A 19,673-nucleotide genomic window follows, 5' to 3' on the forward strand; every position below is an offset into this window, starting at 1 on the left:
ATTTGTTGAGGAGAGCTTTAGTTCCAAGTATGTGGTCAATTTTGGAATAGGTGTGGTGTGGTGCTGAAAAAAATGTATATTCTGTTGATTTGGGGTGGAGAGTTCTGTAGATGTCTATTAGGTCCACTTGGTGCAGAGCTGAGTTCAGTTCCTGGGTATCCTTGTTGACTTTCTGTCTCGTTGATCTGTCTAATGTTGACAGTGGGGTGTTAAAGTCTCCCATGATTAATGTGTGGGAGTCTAAGTCTCTTTGTAGGTCACTCAGGACTTGCTTTATGAATCTGGGTGCTCCTGTATTGGGTGCATATATATTTAGGATAGTTAGCTCTTCTTGTTGAATTGATCCCTTTACCATTATGTAATGGCCTTCTTTGTCTCTTTTGATCTTTGTTGGTTTAAAGTCTGTTTTATCAGAGACTAGGATTGCAACCCCTGCCTTTTTTTGTTTTCCATTTGCTTGGTAGATCTTCCTCCATCCTTTTATTTTGAGCCTATGTGTGTCTCTGCATGTGAGATGGGTTTCCTGAATACAGCACACTGATGGGTCTTGACTCTTTATCCAATTTGCCAGTCTTTGCCTTTTAATTGGAGCATTTAGTCCATTTATATTTAAAGTTAATATTGTTATGTGTGAATTTGATCCTGTCATTATGATGTTAGCTGGTTATTTTGCTCATTAGTTGATGCAGTTTCTTCCTAGTCTTGATGGTCTTTACATTTTGGCATGATTTTGCAGCGGCTGGTACTGGTTGTTCCTTTCCATGTTTAGTGCTTCCTTCAGGAGCTCTTTTAGGGCAGGCCTAGTGGTGACAAAATCTCTCAGCATTTGCTTGTCTGTAAAGGATTTTATTTCTCCTTCACTTATGAAGCTTAGTTTGGCTGGATATGAAATTCTGGGTTGAAAATTCTTTTCTTTAAGAATGTTGAATATTGGCCCCCACTCTCTTCTGGCTTATAGGGTTTCTGCCGAGAGATCCGCTGTTAGTCTGATGGGCTTCCCTTTGTGGGTAATCCGACCTTTCTCTCTGGCTGTCCTTAACATTTTTTCCTTCATTTCAACTTTGGTGAATCTGACAATTAATGTGTCTTGGAGTTGCTCTTCTCGAGGAGTATCTTTGTGGCGTTCTCTGTATTTCCTGAATCTGAATGTTGGCCTGCCTTGCTAGATTGGGGAAGTTCTCCTGGATAATATCCTGCAGAGTGTTTTCCAACTTGGTTCCATTCTCCCCATCACTTTCAGGTACACCAATCAGACGTAGATTTGTTCTTTTCACATAGTCCCATATTTCTTGGAGGCTTTGCTCATTTCTTTTTATTCTTTTTTCTCTAAACTTCCCTTCTCGCTTCATTTCATTCATTTCTTCTTCCATCGCTGATACCCTTTCTTCCAGTTGATGGCATCGGCTCTTGAGGCTTCTGCATTCTTCACATAGTTCTCGAGCCTTGTTTTTCAGCTCCATCAGCTCCTTTAAGCACTTCTCTGTATTGGTTATTCTAGTTACACATTCTTCTAAATTTTTTTCAAAGTTTTCAACTTCTTTGCCTTTGGTTTGAATGTCCTCCCGTAGCTCAGAGTAATTTGATCGTCTGAAGCCTTCTTCTCTCAGCTCGTCAAAGTCATTCTCCATCCAGCTTTGTTCCATTGCTGGTGAGGAACTGTGTTCCTTTGGAGGAGGAGAGGTGCTCTGCTTTTTAGAGTTTCCAGTTTTTCTGCTCTGTTTTTTCCCCATCTTTGTGGTTTTATCTACTTTTGGTCTTTGATGATGGTGATGTACAGATGGGTTTTTGGTGTGGATGTCCTTTCTATTTGTTAATTTTCCTTCTAACAGACAGGACCCTCCGCTGCAGGTCTGTTGGAATACCCTGCCGTGTGAGGTGTCAGTGTGCCCCTGCTGGGAGGTGCCTCCCTGTTAGGCTGCTCAGGGGTCAGGGGTCAGGGACCCACTTGAGGAGGCAGTCTGCCCGTTCTCAGATCTCCAGCTGTGTGCTGGGAGAACCACTGCTCTCTTCAAAGCTGTCAGACAGGGACATTTAAGTCTGCAGAGGTTACTGCTGCTTTTTGTTTGTCTGTGCCCTTCCTCCAGAGATGTAGCCTACAGAGGCAGGCAGGCCTCCTTGAGCTGTGGTGGGCTCCACCCAGTTCGAGCTTCCAGGCTGCTTTGTTTACCTAAGCAAGCCTGGGCAATGGCGGGCGCCCCTCCCCCAGCCTCGCTGCCACCTTGCAGTTTGATCTCAGACTGCTGTGCTAGCAATCAGCGAGACTCCGTGGGCCTAGGACGCTCGGAGCCAGGTGCGGGGTATAATCTCGTGGTGCGCCGTTTTTTAAGCCGGTTGGAAAAGCGCAGTATTCGGGTGGGAGTGACCCGATTTTCCAGGTGCGTCCGTCACCCCTTTCTTTGACTAGGAAAGGGAACTCCCTGACCCCTTGCGCTTCCCAAGTGAGGCAATGCCTTGCCCTGCTTCGTCTCGCACACGGTGCGCGCACCCACTGACCTGCGCCCACTGTCTGGCACTCCCTAGTTAGATGAACCCAGTACCTCAGATGGAAGTGCAGAAATCACCGTCTTCTGCGTGGCTCACGCTGGGAGCTGTAGACCGGAGCTGTTCCTATTCGGCCATCTTGGCTCCTGTCCCTCTTTTGCCCATTTTTTAATTGGATTGTCTTTTTTTTCCCTTTTTACTGTTGTGAATTGTATATATATGTTAGTATATATGTTAGATGTAAGGCTAGCAGATACAAGACCTTTGTTGGATATGAGGTTTGCAAATATTTTCTTGTAACCTGTAGCTGGGAGAGAGAGGGGCATTTTGTTTTGCTGGATAGTCTAGGTAGGCTTCGCTAGACTTTCACTGACGCCGCAAGGAAGGGATAGCACTTTATCAGCCAGCAGAGATGAAAGTAAGTCCTGGGTTCCTCACTTGGCCTTTGCTGGTGTTGGTGTGAGTGGGTCTAGTTTTTTCTGTGATGGTTGGCTGGAGTAGAATGGTTATTATTTAAAAGTTCTCTCTTTTGCTAGGCTTCACCTCTACTGGGTTTTTAGCTAGTGAGAAAAGCTCTTGTTAGGGTTTTTTGTCTGTGTCCATTGTTCCTGGGTAGCTGACTTCTTCAGCTCCAAGTCTGTATATGCAAGAGAAAAAGAAAACCCAGTGATTGCACCACAGCATAATTCCTCAGGTCCCTAGATCTCTAGCTAATCTACGTTCTTCTCTACATCTTTCAGATTCTTCTTACATTTGTTTTATATATATTTTCCAGTGGGCTGAATTATACTTAGCAGGAGAAATAGGGAAAAGTACATCTGGCCAGGCGCAGTGGCTCATGCCTGTAATCCCAGCACTTTGGGGAGGCTGAGGCAGGAGGATCCCTTGAATCCAGGAGTTGGAGACCAGCCTGGGCAACAAAGTGAGACCCAGTCTCTACAAAAATAAAAATAAGAAAATTAGCCCGGTGTAGTGGCATGTGCCTGTTGTCCCAGCTATCCAGGAGGCTGAGGTGGCAGGATCGCCTGAGCCTGGGAGGTCGTGGCTTCAGTGATAGTGCCACAGCATTCCAGCCTGGGTGACACAGCAAGACCCTGTCTTAAACAAAGAAGAAGAGAAAAGAAAGAAAAATGTCACAGGATCCTCAGGGTGTCAGTTTGCAAGCTGGAAACCACTGTGGCCAGCAGCACCTTCTGCCTGAGTATTGTTCACACTGCTGGGCACATTCTCCGCACTTGGCCTGGCAGGCTGTGCTTGGCTCGCACTACTATGCTATGTCTTACACCTGCCAAGCATGAGCCAGGTGTGGAGTGGTGAGGGGTGTGTGGGCAAGCAAGTGTGGGGTCTAGCCACTGTACACAGCCAGGCATGCTGACGGCTGTGGTAGGGCAGGCAGCTCCAGTGCTGGCACTGGTGCTGGCGCCACGCAAGGCTGCAGCTGGACCAGATGTACTGTGCGTGGCTTCTGCTGTGGGCACCCACATCTGGGTGAGGGAAATGTGGTGGTGGCAACTGGAAGCTTGGAAGACACCAGGAACCACAAAACCCCAAAGAGGGTGTCATAGTCCTGGCTCAGGGACCCCCTAGGTCTGGGCTTCCCGAAAGGCCACAGCTTGTCTCTTCTTCTTGTTCCCTGCAACATGGCAGGCGGGGAGGGGGCATGTTTCAGCCCTGTTTGTGTTACAGCTCTTTTAGTCCCACCATTTGGTGGATCCTGAGCTCTTGTCCTGCATCCATGAAGAATGAGGTATGTGGACAACTGGAGGGTGAGCAAGATGGAGAGGAGTTTCATCGAGTGGCAGAACAGTTTTCAGGAGACCCAAAGTGGGTAGCTCCTTTCTGCAGGCAGGTCATCCTGATGACTGTCCATCTGTCAGTGGAGAGGAGAACCTAGAGTGGGTAGCTCCTACCTGCATGCAGGTCATCCCATAATCTGCATCTTTCAGCAGAGAAGAGACCCGGAGTGGCTAGCTCCTATCTGCAGGCAGGTCATTCCATTGTCTCTCCAAGTCTGGCTGAGTCCAGGGTTTTTATGGGCTTCAAAGGGGAGGAGATGCATGCCAATTGGTCCATGGGCAGGCCCGGAAAAAGCACTATAAGTTCTCCTTTCTGCGAAACTGGCAGCCCTTCAACCCATCCCTGGCTTAAAGGTGGAGCTTCACTGGTGACCTGCCCCTTTCTGCCCAGGAGCCTGTCTGCCATCTCTGCCATCTACGGTACCCATGGCACACCCAGGCTGTTTATGTCAGGGGGCGCCTGCAGGCCCACTCTGAGCTGCCCTCAGCCCTCCCTGCCCCTGCAACCTCCCTCCTGTGCTTGTGGGTGCCCAGTGTCTGGAGGGGCGGCAGGGGGCTGGTGTGACAGTGCTGTCCCAAGTGTGCGCACACCTGGCTGGGTCGCAACAGTGCCTGGACTTGGCCTCAACTTTGCTGTGTAATTGGAGCGGGAACCAGGAGTGGGGAGAGGCCTGGCAGTGGGAGCAGGCACTTCTGAGCCTGCAGGGGCAGGGGGAGTTCCCAGATCCCCGAAAGTGCAGTGGTGCCTGGGTCTACAGCTGTGACTGGGCAGCTGCAGCTGTGCCCAGGAGGGTGGGGTTCCTGCCCCTCCAACTCAGAAGGGAGTGGGGCTTCTGCCTGTTCCTGGCTCCCACCACCTCAGTACAGCGAGTAGCCCTAGCTGTTCCTTCCCCACTGCAGCTGGCATCATTGCAGCAGCCACTCCAGATGGGATGCCGCTGCCATCAAAAATATATCTACTCCATCACCTGGGGAGATGCAGCATAATTTAAAATATTTTTATCTGAAATCAGATGTTGCTATATCATCAAATAGAATGCCAAGTTATAATGACTGTATAGGTAAAATACAGAAATCTCAAAGAAATGTTATATTTATGGTAGCTTTGAGTACTGATCCTATGCGCCAGGAAACAAGGTCTTGGTTTTTTCCCCCCATTGTTAGGGGTAAAATATTAGGATGTAGGTCAAGCTTCTGTAATAGCCAAACATAGAGTGGCTCAAATAAGATAGAATTTTATTTTTTCACGTCATTGTTCATGTTAGGAAAGTGAGCTCTGTTCCTTGATGTCATCCAGGGACCCAAGCTGGCTGGACAACTAAGCTGTCTTACACATGACTTCCAAGGTTGTTCCATGCATTACCATTTTCAGGAGGCAAGAAAAATAGTGATGATAGTGGTGGTGATATTGGGGGAACATGCAGGTCAAGAACTTGATTTTAAGGACAGGAAGCAGAAGTTGTACTTGATGCCTTCATTCATATCCCATTGGTGTCAGTCTAGTAATGTGGTTACAACTAGCTGCAGAAGAAACAGGAAATGTCTCCCACTTGGTGGCTATGTGGCCAGCAAAAATTTGAGTAAGGCATTTCTATTATTAAAAGAAAGGTGAGAATACTTACTGGTGGACAATAGTAATCTTTGCTGTTTACTTTAGTGGAAATTTTTTAGAAGAACTCTCTGAGTGGTCTTAATCATTGTGAGCCATTTTATTCTGTAGTTAACTGTCTTTTTTGCTTGCTGTGCTCTTTGTCCTGTTATATTATAAAAGAATGACATGACCTTCATGGTCTAATCTTAGCGTGGGTATAAAACTGATTTGTATAAAACTGATTTGTTTATAACTACTTGGACTACTTCAAATAAGAACCTGTTTGTTTGTATCTTCTAGGGTTTACAGAGTCCACGGGGAATGGGATGCAAGCCAGAAGCTGTATGTAGTCACATTATTATTGAGAGCCATGAAAAGGGATGTTTCCGGACTCTAACTTCTGAACATCCACAACTAGATAGACACCCTTGTGCTTTCAGATCTGCTGGACCCTCAGAAATGACCAGAGGACGGCAGAACCCATCATCATGCAGAGCCAAGCATGTCAACCTTTCTGCATCCTTAGACCAGAACAACTCCCATTTCAAAGTTTGGAATTCCTTGCAGTTAAAAAGTCATTCCCCATTTCAGAACTTTATACCTGATGAATTCAAAATCAGCAAAGGTCTTCGAATGCCATTCGATGAAAAGATGGACCCTTGGCTGTCAGAATTAGTAGAACCTGCTTTTGTGCCACCTAAAGAAGTGGATTTTCATTCTTCATCACAAATGCCGTCCCCAGAACCCATGAAAAAGTTTACTACCTCCATCACTTTTTCATCTCACCGACATTCTAAATGCATTTCCAATTCCTCTGTTGTTAAGGTTGGTGTTACTGAAGGTAGCCAGTGTACTGGAGCATCTGTGGGGGTATTTAATTCTCATTTCACTGAAGAACAAAATCCTCCCAGAGATCTTAAACAGAAAACCTCTTCCCCTTCATCATTTAAAATGCATAGTAATTCACAAGATAAAGAAGTGACTATTTTAGCAGAAGGTAGAAGGCAAAGCCAAAAATTACCTGTTGATTTTGAGCGTTCTTTTCAAGAAGAAAAACCCTTAGAAAGATCAGATTTTACAGGCAGTCATTCTGAGCCCAGTACCAGGGCAAATTGTAGCAATTTCAAGGAAATTCAGATTTCTGATAACCATACCCTTATTAGCATGGGCAGACCAAGTTCCACCCTAGGAGTAAACAGATCGAGTTCCAGACTAGGAGTAAAAGAGAAGAATGTAACTATAACTCCAGATCTTCCTTCTTGCATTTTTCTTGAACAACGAGAGCTCTTTGAACAAAGCAAAGCCCCACGTGCAGATGACCATGTGAGGAAACACCATTCTCCCTCTCCTCAACATCAGGATTATGTAGCTCCAGACCTTCCTTCTTGCATTTTTCTTGAACAACGAGAACTCTTTGAACAGTGCAAAGCCCCATATGTAGATCATCAAATGAGAGAAAACCATTCTCCCCTTCCTCAAGGTCAGGATTCTATAGCTTCAGACCTTCCGTCTCCCATTTCTCTTGAACAATGCCAAAGCAAAGCGCCAGGTGTAGATGACCAAATGAATAAACACCATTTTCCCCTTCCTCAAGGTCAGGATTGTGTAGTGGAAAAGAATAATCAACATAAGCCTAAATCACACATTTCTAATATAAATGTTGAAGCCAAGTTCAATACTGTGGTCTCCCAGTCAGCCCCAAATCACTGTACATTAGCAGCATCTGCATCTACTCCTCCTTCAAATAGAAAAGCACTTTCTTGTGTTCATATAACTCTTTGTCCCAAGACTTCTTCCAAGTTGGATAGTGGAACTTTAGATGAAAGATTCCATTCATTGGATGCTGCTTCTAAAGCGAGGATGAATAGTGAGTTTAACTTTGACTTACATACTGTATCTTCGAGATCACTGGAACCAACCTCCAAATTATTGACCAGTAAACCTGTAGCACAGGATCAAGAATCTTTAGGTTTTCTAGGACCTAAATCTTCACTGGATTTCCAAGTCGTACAGCCTTCTCTTCCAGACAGTAACACTATTACTCAGGACTTGAAAACCATACCTTCTCAGAATAGCCAGATAGTAACCTCCAGGCAAATACAAGTGAACATTTCAGATTTCGAAGGACATTCCAATCCAGAGGGGACCCCAGTATTTGCAGATCGGTGAGTCTCATTGTGATAACAAGCAAGCTGGATGGACTTTGTAATAAAGGGTTTCAAATACTTAAGTAGATATCGGTTCTTGGGGGAAAGGCCGTGTGATTTCTCTGAGTGGAGGTTGTGTCTGGCTAATTACTAGAAGTCTTTCAAGGAATAAATGTGTTAAGTAAGAGAGAACATGTGACAGTAATGCATTTATATTTCAGAGGGCTTTTGGCAAGACTTGACATCAAGTGTTTTTAAAAATTGAATGACCTTGAAAAGAATCTTTGATCATCCAATGATACAATTACGAATTTATTTACTGTGTTGGACATATGCTGAAGATCTCCTTTGGAGGTTGCACACACATACATGGGTGCTTGGTCACTCTCTCTCCCGCTCTCCCTCTCTCTCTCTCTTCTCCAGCTCTCTGGTTCCATTTCATGACTTCCCTCAAATATTTAGTATTTACAAAGAAAGTGGCTTTACAGTGGAAAATCCTGGCAGATACCAGTTTAGTCAAATGATGAAGATTAGCATCGCCAGTAAAACATCTGTCAACATAATGTGCTCCCTGATATGATGCCCCACCTCATAGAGTATTGTAGGAAAGGAAACCCAATTCAGGGATAAGTTCGTTAGATTTATATTATTCAGCCCAATTTTAGCACATTGCCATTAATTCAGTTTTACTTAATGAGCCTCTTATGATATGGTGAAGCAGAACTACCTGTATGTTTAGTATTTTACCTTATAGTTGAAGAGGCATCGTACCACAGTGGAGAGCGCTAGGCTTGGAAAGGAGGAAGAAAGAAATGTTTATTCATAATCTACATGTGGTAGTAGTCATGGCAATAAGGAACTTAGATATGCTATCCTACTTAGTTCTCATCATGATCCTATGAAGCAGGTGATGATATCTCTATTTTCCTACTGGGAAATCTTTTGTGCCAAAAGATGTTGTTTGTGGGCAAGAGAAAGAGCATTCAAATGCATTCTGTTTAATCAGAGTAAGGATTTGTTCCTCTACACAGTACTCTGTCCTAGAATTTGAACCCTAATTCCAACACTTCCAACCATGATGCTGGACAACTGATTTAATATCCTTGGCACTCATATGTAGAAGGAAAGGGTTGGAATGCTGAAAAGTCCCTTATAGCTCTAAAAGTTAGGGATTGAGATAATAGATTGGGGCAAAAAAACAAGGTCAATCTCTGATTTCAATGTTAAAAATAGTAGAGTGCCATAGAGATCAGTAATGATACCTTTAAAATTTTTTTCTTTGAGACAGAGTCTCGCTCTGTCACCCAGGCCAGAGTACAGTGATGTGATCTTGGTTCACTGAAACCTCCGCCCCCTGGGTTCCCGTCCCGCCTCAGCCACCTGAATAGCTGGGACCACAGGCGTGCACCACCATGCCTGGCTAATTTTTGTATTTTTAGTAGAGACGAGGTTTTGCCATGTTGGCAAGGCTGGTCAGTATTGATACTTAAAAAAAAAAAAAAAAGTTTAGAAATTAAAACATTGACAATTTCATATACAATTTTTAAACTCTTCAAAGGTTAAATGCTAAGGTATTGTACTGAATACCTTAAAAATGAGATAAAGCTATGAATGAGAAGAAAGTAATAGATGATTATATATATGAACTAACAATAATGCCATTTGTTCAGGGTGTACGTTTGTAGTGGATGCTTATATTATACTTAGTGTAATAATCAGAAATAGATATTATTACCTCAGTTGTGGATTTAAAAAACCTGAGACTTAGAGAAAATATTTTGCCCAAGATCACATGGCCATTGAGCATTGGAGGTGGCATTTGAACCTAGGTTTATCAAACTCCACAGTCCATAAATAAGGCAAACTACACACACACACACACACACACACACACACAGATGCATAAAACATATATATATAAGTAAATATATATATAATACCTTATAAAATATTTATAAAGGGCTGGGTGCGGTGGCTCACACCTGTAATCCCAGCACTTTGGGAGGCCAAGGTGGGCGGATCACCTGAGGTTGAGAATTTGAGACCAGCATGATCAACATGGAGAAGCCCCATCTCTACTAAAAATACAAAATTAGCTGGGCATGGTGGCACATGCTTGTAATCCCAGCTACTCAGGAGGCTAAGGCAGGAGAATCGCTTGAACCTGGGAGGCGGAGGCTGCAGTGAGCCAAGATTGCACCACTGCACTCCAGCCTGGCAACAAAGCGAGACTCTGCCTCAAAAAAAAAATTTATAAAGTATGTATGTATAAAATATTTATAAAGTATATGTGTATAAAATATATTCAAACTTTTTCATTTTGAGATAATTTTAGACTTAGGAGTTGCAGAAATAGCACAGAGAGTTTCTGTATTATCTATTGCTGTGTATCATGTTACCCTGAAATATAGCAACTTAATAAACGTGAAAATTTATGTAGGTCAGAAATCTAAATGTAGCTTATTTGGGTACTTCTGGCTTAGGTTGTCTCAGAACGTTGCAAACAAGGTATTGGCTGCAAATGTGGTCTCATCACAGGGCTTGCCTGAGAGGATATGCTTCCAGCCTCACTCACATGGCCATGGCTTTGGCCAGAGACATGGGCTTTTTGATTCTATAAGGCACTCATAATATGACACCTAAGCTTCCCTTAGTGAGGCAGTGAGAGGGCAAGAGAGGGTGCCCAAAACAAAAGCCACAGTCTTTTTGTAACCTACCCTTGGATGTGTCATCTCGTCACCTCTGCCACATTCTCTTCAGTAGAAATGAGTCACTGTCTAAAGCTCTCACCCAAGGGTTGGGAATTCCACAAGGTCCTGAATACCAGGAGGTAGATGTCATTGGGGGATATGTTAGAGGTTGTCCATGTAACCTTTACTGAAGCTTCCATTTATGTTAACATCTTACCGTAACATCATAACCATAAAATATTTATCAAAATAAGAAATTATTATTGGTGTAAAACTATATAGTCTAACATTGATTTCACCAGGTTTTTCCACAAATGAACCTTTTTTGTTTCAGATCCAACCCAGGATTCCGTCTTGCATTTTAGTTGTCATGTCTTAGACTCCTCCAATCTATGACAGTTTCCCAGTCTTTTTTTGTCTTTCATGACCTTGACGCTTTGAAGAGTGCTAATCAGTTATTTTGAAGAAGCTTCTTCAATTTAGCATTGTTTGATGGTTCAAGGTTAGATTAGGGTTATGCATTCTCAACACGTCACAACAGAGAGCACATTATGTTGATATACATTACTGGTGATGTTAACCTTGATCACTTGGCTAAAGTGGTATCTGCTAGGATTCTCCACTGTAAGGTTATTGTTTTTCCTTTGGAGATACTAAACATTTGAGGGAGATTTTGTTAGACTATACAAATAACCTGTTTCTGCTTAAACTTTGACTACTAATTTTAGCATTCATGAGTGGATCTTGGCTGTAGCAGTTATTACTCTGGTGTTTTAATTTTTTTATGTCTGTCATCTCTTTTACATTTGTTAATTGGAATTCTTCTGTAAGGAGAATTGTTCTTCCCTCATTTATTCCGCCCTAGGTTATTTATTTACATTACTGTAGACTCATTAGTGTTTATTTCATTATTTGGATTATAATCCAATGCTACCATTACTGTTTTGTTGCTCAAGTTCTCTTTTTAGCTCTTTAGAGCACTTTTAGGTTGGCTCCTGTACCCTGCCCCAGAGCTGGAATCAACTGTTTCATTAAAAATCCCTCTTTTTATTGTTGTTGTTGTTGTTGTTTTCTTTCTTTTTGAGCCGGAGTCTTGCTCTGTCACCCAGGCTGGAGTGCAGTGGCGTGATCTTGGCTCACTGCAACCTCCACCTCCCGGGTTCAAGCAATTCACCTGCCTCAGCCTCCAGAGTAGCTGGGATTACAGGTCTGCACCACCAAACCCAGCTAATTTTCTGTATTTTTAGTAGAGACAGGGTTTCACCATGTTGGCCAGGCTGGTCTTGAACTCCTGACCTCAGGTGATCTGCCCACCTCGGCCTCCCAAAATGCTGTGATTACAGACGTGAGCCACCATGCCCAGCCAAAAAACCCTCTTATTTTTGAAGGGAGGAAGGAGTACAGTATTTAGAAAGCAAGATGTAAGGACCTGGCATGCTCATTGCTGGTGGGATGTTGCTGTGTCTAGCCTTTCTCAGTGAATAAAGCTAAGAAATATAGGTAGATTTGTAAATTTATGTGTATACTCATATCTGTATCTTTTAACGTGTGTGTGTGTTTTAAATCATGTGTCCATATTGATACCTCTGACTCTAGTACAGATCCACAAGGTTGATTCTAGCCTTTCCCCTTTCTTTATTTGTAACTTCTGTCTCTAATAGCGATAAAACTGGCTCTCATTATCTGTAATATATTTACCCTAATATATAAATAGTTTCAGAATTCATAGCCCCTACCCACATGAAAAACAAATTCTGCATCTAGAGTACAGTGTTTATCTGCAGTTTCGAAGTTATCATTAAAATATCTAGACAAAAATGCTGTTTGCTAAAGTTTCTTAAGTCAGCATCTCCCTTCCCCATATTCTTCAGTATGAGTACGTGATTCATTTATAATATAGATTCATTAGTCACATTCTGCATTCCATCTTTGCCTCATATCCTGGTTCACCTTTGAAAATTTCCGTACTTATAAATTTCACTTTCTGTGCTTTACAATTCTATCCATTGCTACAGTTTCATATGAGCAGTTCCATCAATCCCCAAATTCCCCTATGCCGTTCCTTTGGAGACAGTCTTTCCTCTGATCCCTCACCCCTGGCAGTCCCTGGTCTGTATTCTTCCTTAGAGTTTTGCCTTTCTAGAGTGTCACACAAATGGAATCATAAAATATGTAACAGCCTTTTGGGTCTGAATTTTTTACTTTGCAAAATGCATTTGACACATCCATCTTGTGTGGATCAGTAGTGCTTTTTTATTGCTTTATTAAATGCAGTAATATTTTATTGTAATTGAGTTTGTTTATCCATTCACTCACTGAAGGATATTTGAGTTGTTTCTAGTTTGGGACCATTAAAATTAGAACTGCTGTAAACATTTATATACAGGTTTTTGTTTCTCTACAGTAAATACTAAGAAAGAGGATTCCTGAGTTATATGGTACAGGTGTATATTTAACTTTGTAAGAATTATTCAGAGCTAAACTAATACTGGTTTTTCAGAGTGTCTGTATCATTTTGCATTCCTGCTAGCAATGGGTGAGCATTCTAGTTACTCCACATCCTCACCGATGTGTAAATTGTCAATATATTTTAGCCATTTTTATAGTTGTACAGTGGTATCTCAACATAGTTTTAATTTGCATGTCCTTCCTTAATGGCTAATTATTATGAACACCGTTTCAAGAGCTTATTTGCCATCCTCTTCGGTGAAGTGCTTTTTAAATAGGGTTGTTTGCTTTCTTATTGGTGAGTTTTGAGAGTTCTTAATATATTCTGGATACGAGTCTTTTCTGGATATGTTATTTGCAAATATCTCTTCACAGTATGCGACTTGTCTTCTTATCCTCTTAAAAAAGGCTTTCAAAAAACAAAGGTGTTTCCTTTTGATCAAGTCCAATTAATTGATTTTTAAATGGATCGTGTGATTGGGTTGGCAATACTTTCCTTTCAGCACTTAAAAAATATGCTCCTTCCTTCTGGATTCCATGGTTTCTGGCAAAAAATTCATAGTCATTTGAGTCATTGTTTTCTATGTAAGAACAATGTGTTATTTTTCTCTGATTATTTTAATTTTTTTCCAGCACATTGATTATGCTTCTAGATATGGGTTTCTTCTTTTTTTTAATTTTTAAATTTTCATTTCAGTAGTTTTTGGGATAAAGGTTGTTTTGGTTACATGGATAAGTTCTTTAGTGGTGATTTCTGAGATTTTAGTGCACCCATCACCCGAGTAGTATGCACACCATACCCAATATGTAGTTTTTTTAAGCCCATAGGTTTACAGGCATACCTCAGATATATTGCAGGTTCAGTTCCAGACCACTGCAATAAAGCCGGTCACCTAAATTTTTTGGCTTCCCAGTGCATGTACAAGTTATGTTAACACTATACTGTACTCTATGAAGTGTATAATAGCGTTATGTCTAAAAAAATGTACCTACCTTAATTTAAAAATTGTCGTTGGTTGATGGGCACTTAGGTTTTTATGAGTTACTTCACTTAGAATAATGGCCTCCAGCTCCATCAAAGTTACTGCAAAAGACATTATTTCATTCCTTTTTATGGCTGAGTAGTATTCCGTGGTGTATATATACCACATTTTCTTTATCTACTCATTGGTTGATGGGCATTTAGGTTTTTATGTCTTTGCAGTTGCAAATTGTGCTGCTGTACAAGTGTGTGCACGTGTCTTTTTAATGTCTTCTTTTTCTAGGTATAGATTTCTTTGGTACATCTTGTTTGGGGTTTGCTGAGTTTTTTTAAGCCTATAGGTTTACAGGCATACCTCAGATATATTGCAGGTTCAGTTCCAGACCACTGCAATAAAGCCGATCACATGAATTTTTTGGTTTCCCAGTGATAATACAAGTGATGTTTACACTATACTGTACTCTATTAAGTGTATAATAGTGTCATGTCTAAAAAAAGTACATACCTTAATTTAAAAATTCTTTATTGTTTAAAAATGCTAACAATTATTTGAACCTTCAGTGAGTTACTTTTTGCTGGTGGCAGTCTTACCTTGATGTTGGTGGCTGCTAACTGCTCTGGGTGGTGATTGCTAAAGATTGAGGTGGCTGTAGAAATTTCTTTTTTTTTTTCTTTTTAATTTTCATTGGTACATAGTAGGTGTATATGTTTATGGGTACATGAGATGTTTGATACAAGCATGCAGTGTGAAATAAGGACATTGTGAAGAATGGGGTACATCCCTTCAAGCATTTTTATCCATTGAGTTGCAAACAATGCAATTACACTAAGTTATTTTAAAATGTACAGTCATTATTTACTATAGTCACCCTTTTGTGTTACATAGTAGGTCTTATTCATTCTTTCTATTTTGTGTGTGTGTGTGTGTGTGCCCATTAACCATCCCCATCTCTCCCCAAACCCCTCACTACCTTTCTCAGCCTCTGGTAACCATCCTTCTACTCTCTATGTCCATGAGTTCAATTGTTTGGATTTTTAGATTCCACAAATAAGTGACAACATGCAGTGTTTGTCTTTTTATGCCTGGTTTATTTCATTTAACGTAATGATCTCTAGTTCCATCCATATTGTTGTAAATGACTGGATCTCATCATTTTCTATGTCTGAATAGTACTCCACTGTGTATATGTACCACATTTTCTTACCCATCTATTGATGGACACATAGGCTGCTTCCGAATCTTAGCTTACCACAAACACTGCTGCAACAAACATGGGATTGCATTGAAACTGTAGATTGCTTTTGAGTAACAAAATCAGTCTTCCATATACTGATTTCCTTTCTTTTGGGTATATACTCAGCAGTGGGATTGCTGGATCATATTGTAGCTCAGTTTTTAGTTTTTTTAAGGAACCTCCAAACTATTCTCCTTAGCAATTGCACTAATTTACATTCCAAGCAATAGTATACAAGGGTTCCCTTTTCTCCACGTCTTCACCAGCATTTGTTATTGCCTGTCTTTTCCATATAAGCCATTTTAACTGGGGTGAGATGATATCTCATTGTAGTTTTTAGTTTTAGTGTTTTGATTGGATTATTAGATTTTTTCCTATGGAATTGTTTGAGCTCTTTATGTATTCTGGTTATTAATCCCTTGTGAGATGGGTAGTTTGCAGATATTCTCTTCCATTCTGTAGGTTGTCTTCTTCACTTTATTGATTGTACCCTTTGCTGTAAAGAAGCTTTTTAATTTGATGTGATCCCATTTGTCCATTTTCGCTTTGGTTACCTGTGCTTGTGGGGTATTGCTCAAGAAATTTTTGCCCAGACCAATATCCTAAAGATTTTCCCTCATGTTTTTCTGTAGTAGTTTCATGATTTGAGGTCTTAGGTTTAAGTTTTTAATCCATTTTGATTTGATTTTTGTATATGGCGAAAGATATAGAGTTCTAGCTTCATTCTTCTGCATGTAAGTATCCAGTTTTCATTTATTTCTGCTGTTTTATAGTTTTTGTCAGGGAATTCTGATATCTCTTTTATCCTAGCCTTGGTGTCTGTTCCCATGTGATTTAGTTTTTATATTTGTCTCTTCAAAATCTCATATTGAAATTTGATCCCCAGCATTAGAGGTGGGACCTAAAGAGAGATGTTTGGGTTATGGGGGCAGATCCCTCATGAATGGCTCAGTGACCTCCCTGTGGTAATGAGTGAGTTCTGGCTCGTAGTTCACCCAAGAGCTGGTTGTTTAAAAAAGAATGACTCCCCTCCTCCCCACCTTCCACTTCTTTTCTCTTCCCGTGTGATGTGGGCTCTCCCCTTACACTTCTGCTGTGATTGGAAGCTTCCTGAGTTCCTCACCAGAAGCAGATGCTGGTCCCATGCTTCTTACACAGCCTGCAGAACTGTGAGCCAAACAAACCTTTTTACTTGGTAAATTACCCAGCCTCAAGTATTCCTTAATAGCAGTGCAAACAGACTAAGACACCATTTGAGCTGAGATTTTTCTGGTTCTAAATATGATGAATAATTTTGGATTGTATTTCATAATGACGTGTTATGAAATGACAAGTCTTGTTTAAATGCCATAGAGAATGTTGATGTTTTTGTTTTAGCAGACAATGACCCAACTAGTTTCAGGTTAAAAATTCCAGCCAGCCTTCTGTAGGTTGTTGTTCCAAGTCCATTCAGTTTTCAAAGATTTTGCAGTGCTGTTCACATCTGTTGTCTGTGTGTGTGCCTAGTGGCCCTTTTCTAGGTACTTTTATCCCTTTTCTATGTACTTTCTGTGACTACATTGTGTCAGGGCTGAGTGGCACAGGACAGAAGGAGAAAAAGCCAACCAGGAGTGGTCACTCTTGAGACCACATTTCCTTTGGTGTAAGTTGAAGGTTTCCCTTCTTCAGAACTTTAGGCTCCTGCCAGCCTCTGTTACTGCTTGTACCATTGCCACCATGAGATTACTGGGATGCTATGACTAATATACAGAGATAAGGAAAAAGGGGATTCCACACTCTATATAGAGTGTTGGGAGACCCTTCTTTCATTCCTGAAGCCTGAACTAGAAGGCTTCGCTGTGAAGTCTTTCTCTCTATGCTAATATCCACTTTTAGGTTTCAGGCTATATTGAGTTCAGGCCAAGGAATGACAGAGGAAACAAAAATGATGGCAAACTCATTACCATTTTGATGATATTTCAGATTTTATGATCTTCAATCTGCCTGCTTCTGTTATTTTCCACAGTCTTCCAATAGCTGCTCCATGTAGTCTATCTAGGTTTTATAGCTCATCTCATCTAGGATTAGATACGCTAACCTGGAACTGGAACCACTTCTACTGTTTTTTGTTCCCATTAACTGCATATGTGAGTTTCAGTTATTCCACATCCTTGCCAACACTGGGTATTAACAGTTATTTTTAATTTCACTCATTCTAAATGTGAGTATGAAACAGTATGGTATTGTAATTTTAATTTGTATTTCCATGATGACTAATGATGCTGAGCATCTTTTCTGTGTCTCTTGCCCATTTGCATGATTTTATTTATGAAGTATCTGTTCACTTTTATCCATTGGATTATTTGTCTCAGTATTATAGGAATTTTTATAATATATTCCAGATACAAATCCTCTGTGTATTGTGAATATTTTCTCATAGTCTGTGGTGTGATTTTTGTTTTCTTAATGGTGTCTCTGGGGAACAGAAAGCTTTAATTTTGATGAATTCCACTTTGGTAATTTTTTTTTAATGATTAGTACTTTTTTGTGTCCTGATTAAGAAATGTTGCCTAATCAAGTGTTGTAAAAGTTTTCTCCTGTATTTTCATGTAGAAATGTTATGGTCTTAACTTTGTGATCAAGTCTGTGATCTGTTTCCAAATTCTCCTTTGTGGTGTAAGTTATGCAGTTGAGGATCATTTTCTTTCCTAGGAATATTCTAGCACCACTTTTCAAAAATGATTATTTCCTTATTGAAGTTAGTTGGAACCTTGGTCAAAATTAGTTGGCCTTATATGTGTAAGTTTTAGAGTTTCTACTCTGTTTCTTTGTTCTTTTTATTTATCTTTACACCAGTACCACAATGTCTTGATTACTGTAGCTTTATAGTAAGTCTTGAAATCAGGTTATGTCCTCCAACCTTGTTTTTGTTTTCAAAATTATTTTTGCTATTTCAAGTCCTTTGCATTTTCATACAAATTTTAGAATAAGCATACTGGGATTTTTTTGGGGATTGTATGGAATCTGTAGATCAATTTTGTAGATTGACATTTGAATTTTCAGTCTTCCTATGCATGAACATGGTGAGATTTTTCTTCCCCACTTATTTAAGTCATCTTTAATGTCCCCCGGTGACATATTGTAATTTTCGTTGTGTAGATTTTACACATCTACTAAATATATTCCTAAGTAGTTAATATACTATGGTATATGGCATTTTAAAATTTAAGTTTTCTCATTGTTCATTGCTTATATATAGAAATACTGTTGTCATGCCAATTTGTAGGTCCCAACAAGTTAATTTTAATTTTAATTTATTATTCTTTGGGTCAGAGCTTTCATGCCTACTGTGGGATGTTTTAGGGCAATGAGTGCTGTAGAGAATTTATACAAGGCAAAAGTTCCAGTGGTTGACATATATCTATTTGTTCTCTGTTTTATGTTCAGTAACTCCTCTAAGATTTCAAGAGTTTCTTCTTTAAATTTACTGGGATCCTCAGGTATAAAGTCTATTCTTCATACATAATCATTTCACCAGAGAACAGAGCAGTTTTACTCCTTCCTTTGCAGTTCTCATGCCTTTTATTTCTTTTTCTTGCTTAATGCACTGGCTAGAACATTGAATATGATACCAAAACAAGTAGTAAAAGCAGACATCTTGCCCTGTTCCCTATTCCTGGAGGGCAGGAGAGTAGAGTAGTGTTTTGTCATTAAGTTTAATATTACCTGTAGATTTTTAATGGGTGCCTTTTATCAGCTTGAGGATGTTTTCTAAGTGAGTTTTATCATGAATGGGTGTTTAATTTTTCAGATGTTTTTCCTGATCTATGGATATGATCATACATGTTTTCTCCTTTTTTCTACTGATGTAGTGAATTACATTGGTCCAGTTGATCAACTGTATTGTTGAAATTGTCATCTTTACTGAATTTTTATCTGCTTGTTTAATCAGCATTTGAAAACAGCATACATCTCCAGTTATGTTTGTGTGTTTTCTGTTTCTCCTTTAGATCTTCTTTGGAGTATTTTGTGGGGAGGGGAACAATAACAAAGTTATAGAAAAGGTAAATATGGCACAAGGAACTTCTCTTTCTCCTTAGTTATTTGGGAATACGTTGTTGACCTGCTGCACAATCACTTTCGTGTAATATAGTCTCATTTCCTATAAAAGGACATTCTCCTATAGGACCACAATAAAACCATGAGAATTAGGAAATTCATACTAGTGCATTACAGACATTATTTAGATTTCTCCAGTTCTCCCAGTAATGTCTTTTTTTTTATTTTTATTTTTTTATAACACTTTAAGTTTTAGGGTACATGT

At 40.3% G+C, this 19,673-nt stretch overlaps 1 protein-coding gene across 2 annotated transcripts in view, besides 1 other annotated feature; it reads left to right on the plus strand.

Annotated features, from left to right (window-relative positions):
- Nucleotides 1–19,673, plus strand: part of ALMS1 (ALMS1 centrosome and basal body associated protein) — a 224,162-nt gene that overhangs the window by 97,708 nt on the left and 106,781 nt on the right. For both annotated transcript variants that reach the window (NM_015120.4, NM_001378454.1), the window contains 1 exon segment: nt 6,169–8,033. In NM_015120.4, coding sequence (NP_055935.4) covers nt 6,169–8,033 — 1,865 coding nt within the window.
- Nucleotides 3,355–3,874: an enhancer, noted in NCBI's record as "H3K27ac-H3K4me1 hESC enhancer chr2:73713947-73714466 (GRCh37/hg19 assembly coordinates)". NCBI's record gives its function as "activates a minimal SCP1, AML or CMV promoter by ChIP-STARR-seq in primed H9 embryonic stem cells {active_cell/tissue: H9 hESC(primed)}" and the evidence as "EXISTENCE:reporter gene assay evidence [ECO:0000049][PMID:30033119]".

The sequence above is a fragment of the Homo sapiens genome, chromosome 2 (assembly GCF_000001405.40).
Source record: "Homo sapiens chromosome 2, GRCh38.p14 Primary Assembly".
In the NCBI taxonomy this organism is placed as follows: Eukaryota; Metazoa; Chordata; class Mammalia; order Primates; family Hominidae; genus Homo; species Homo sapiens.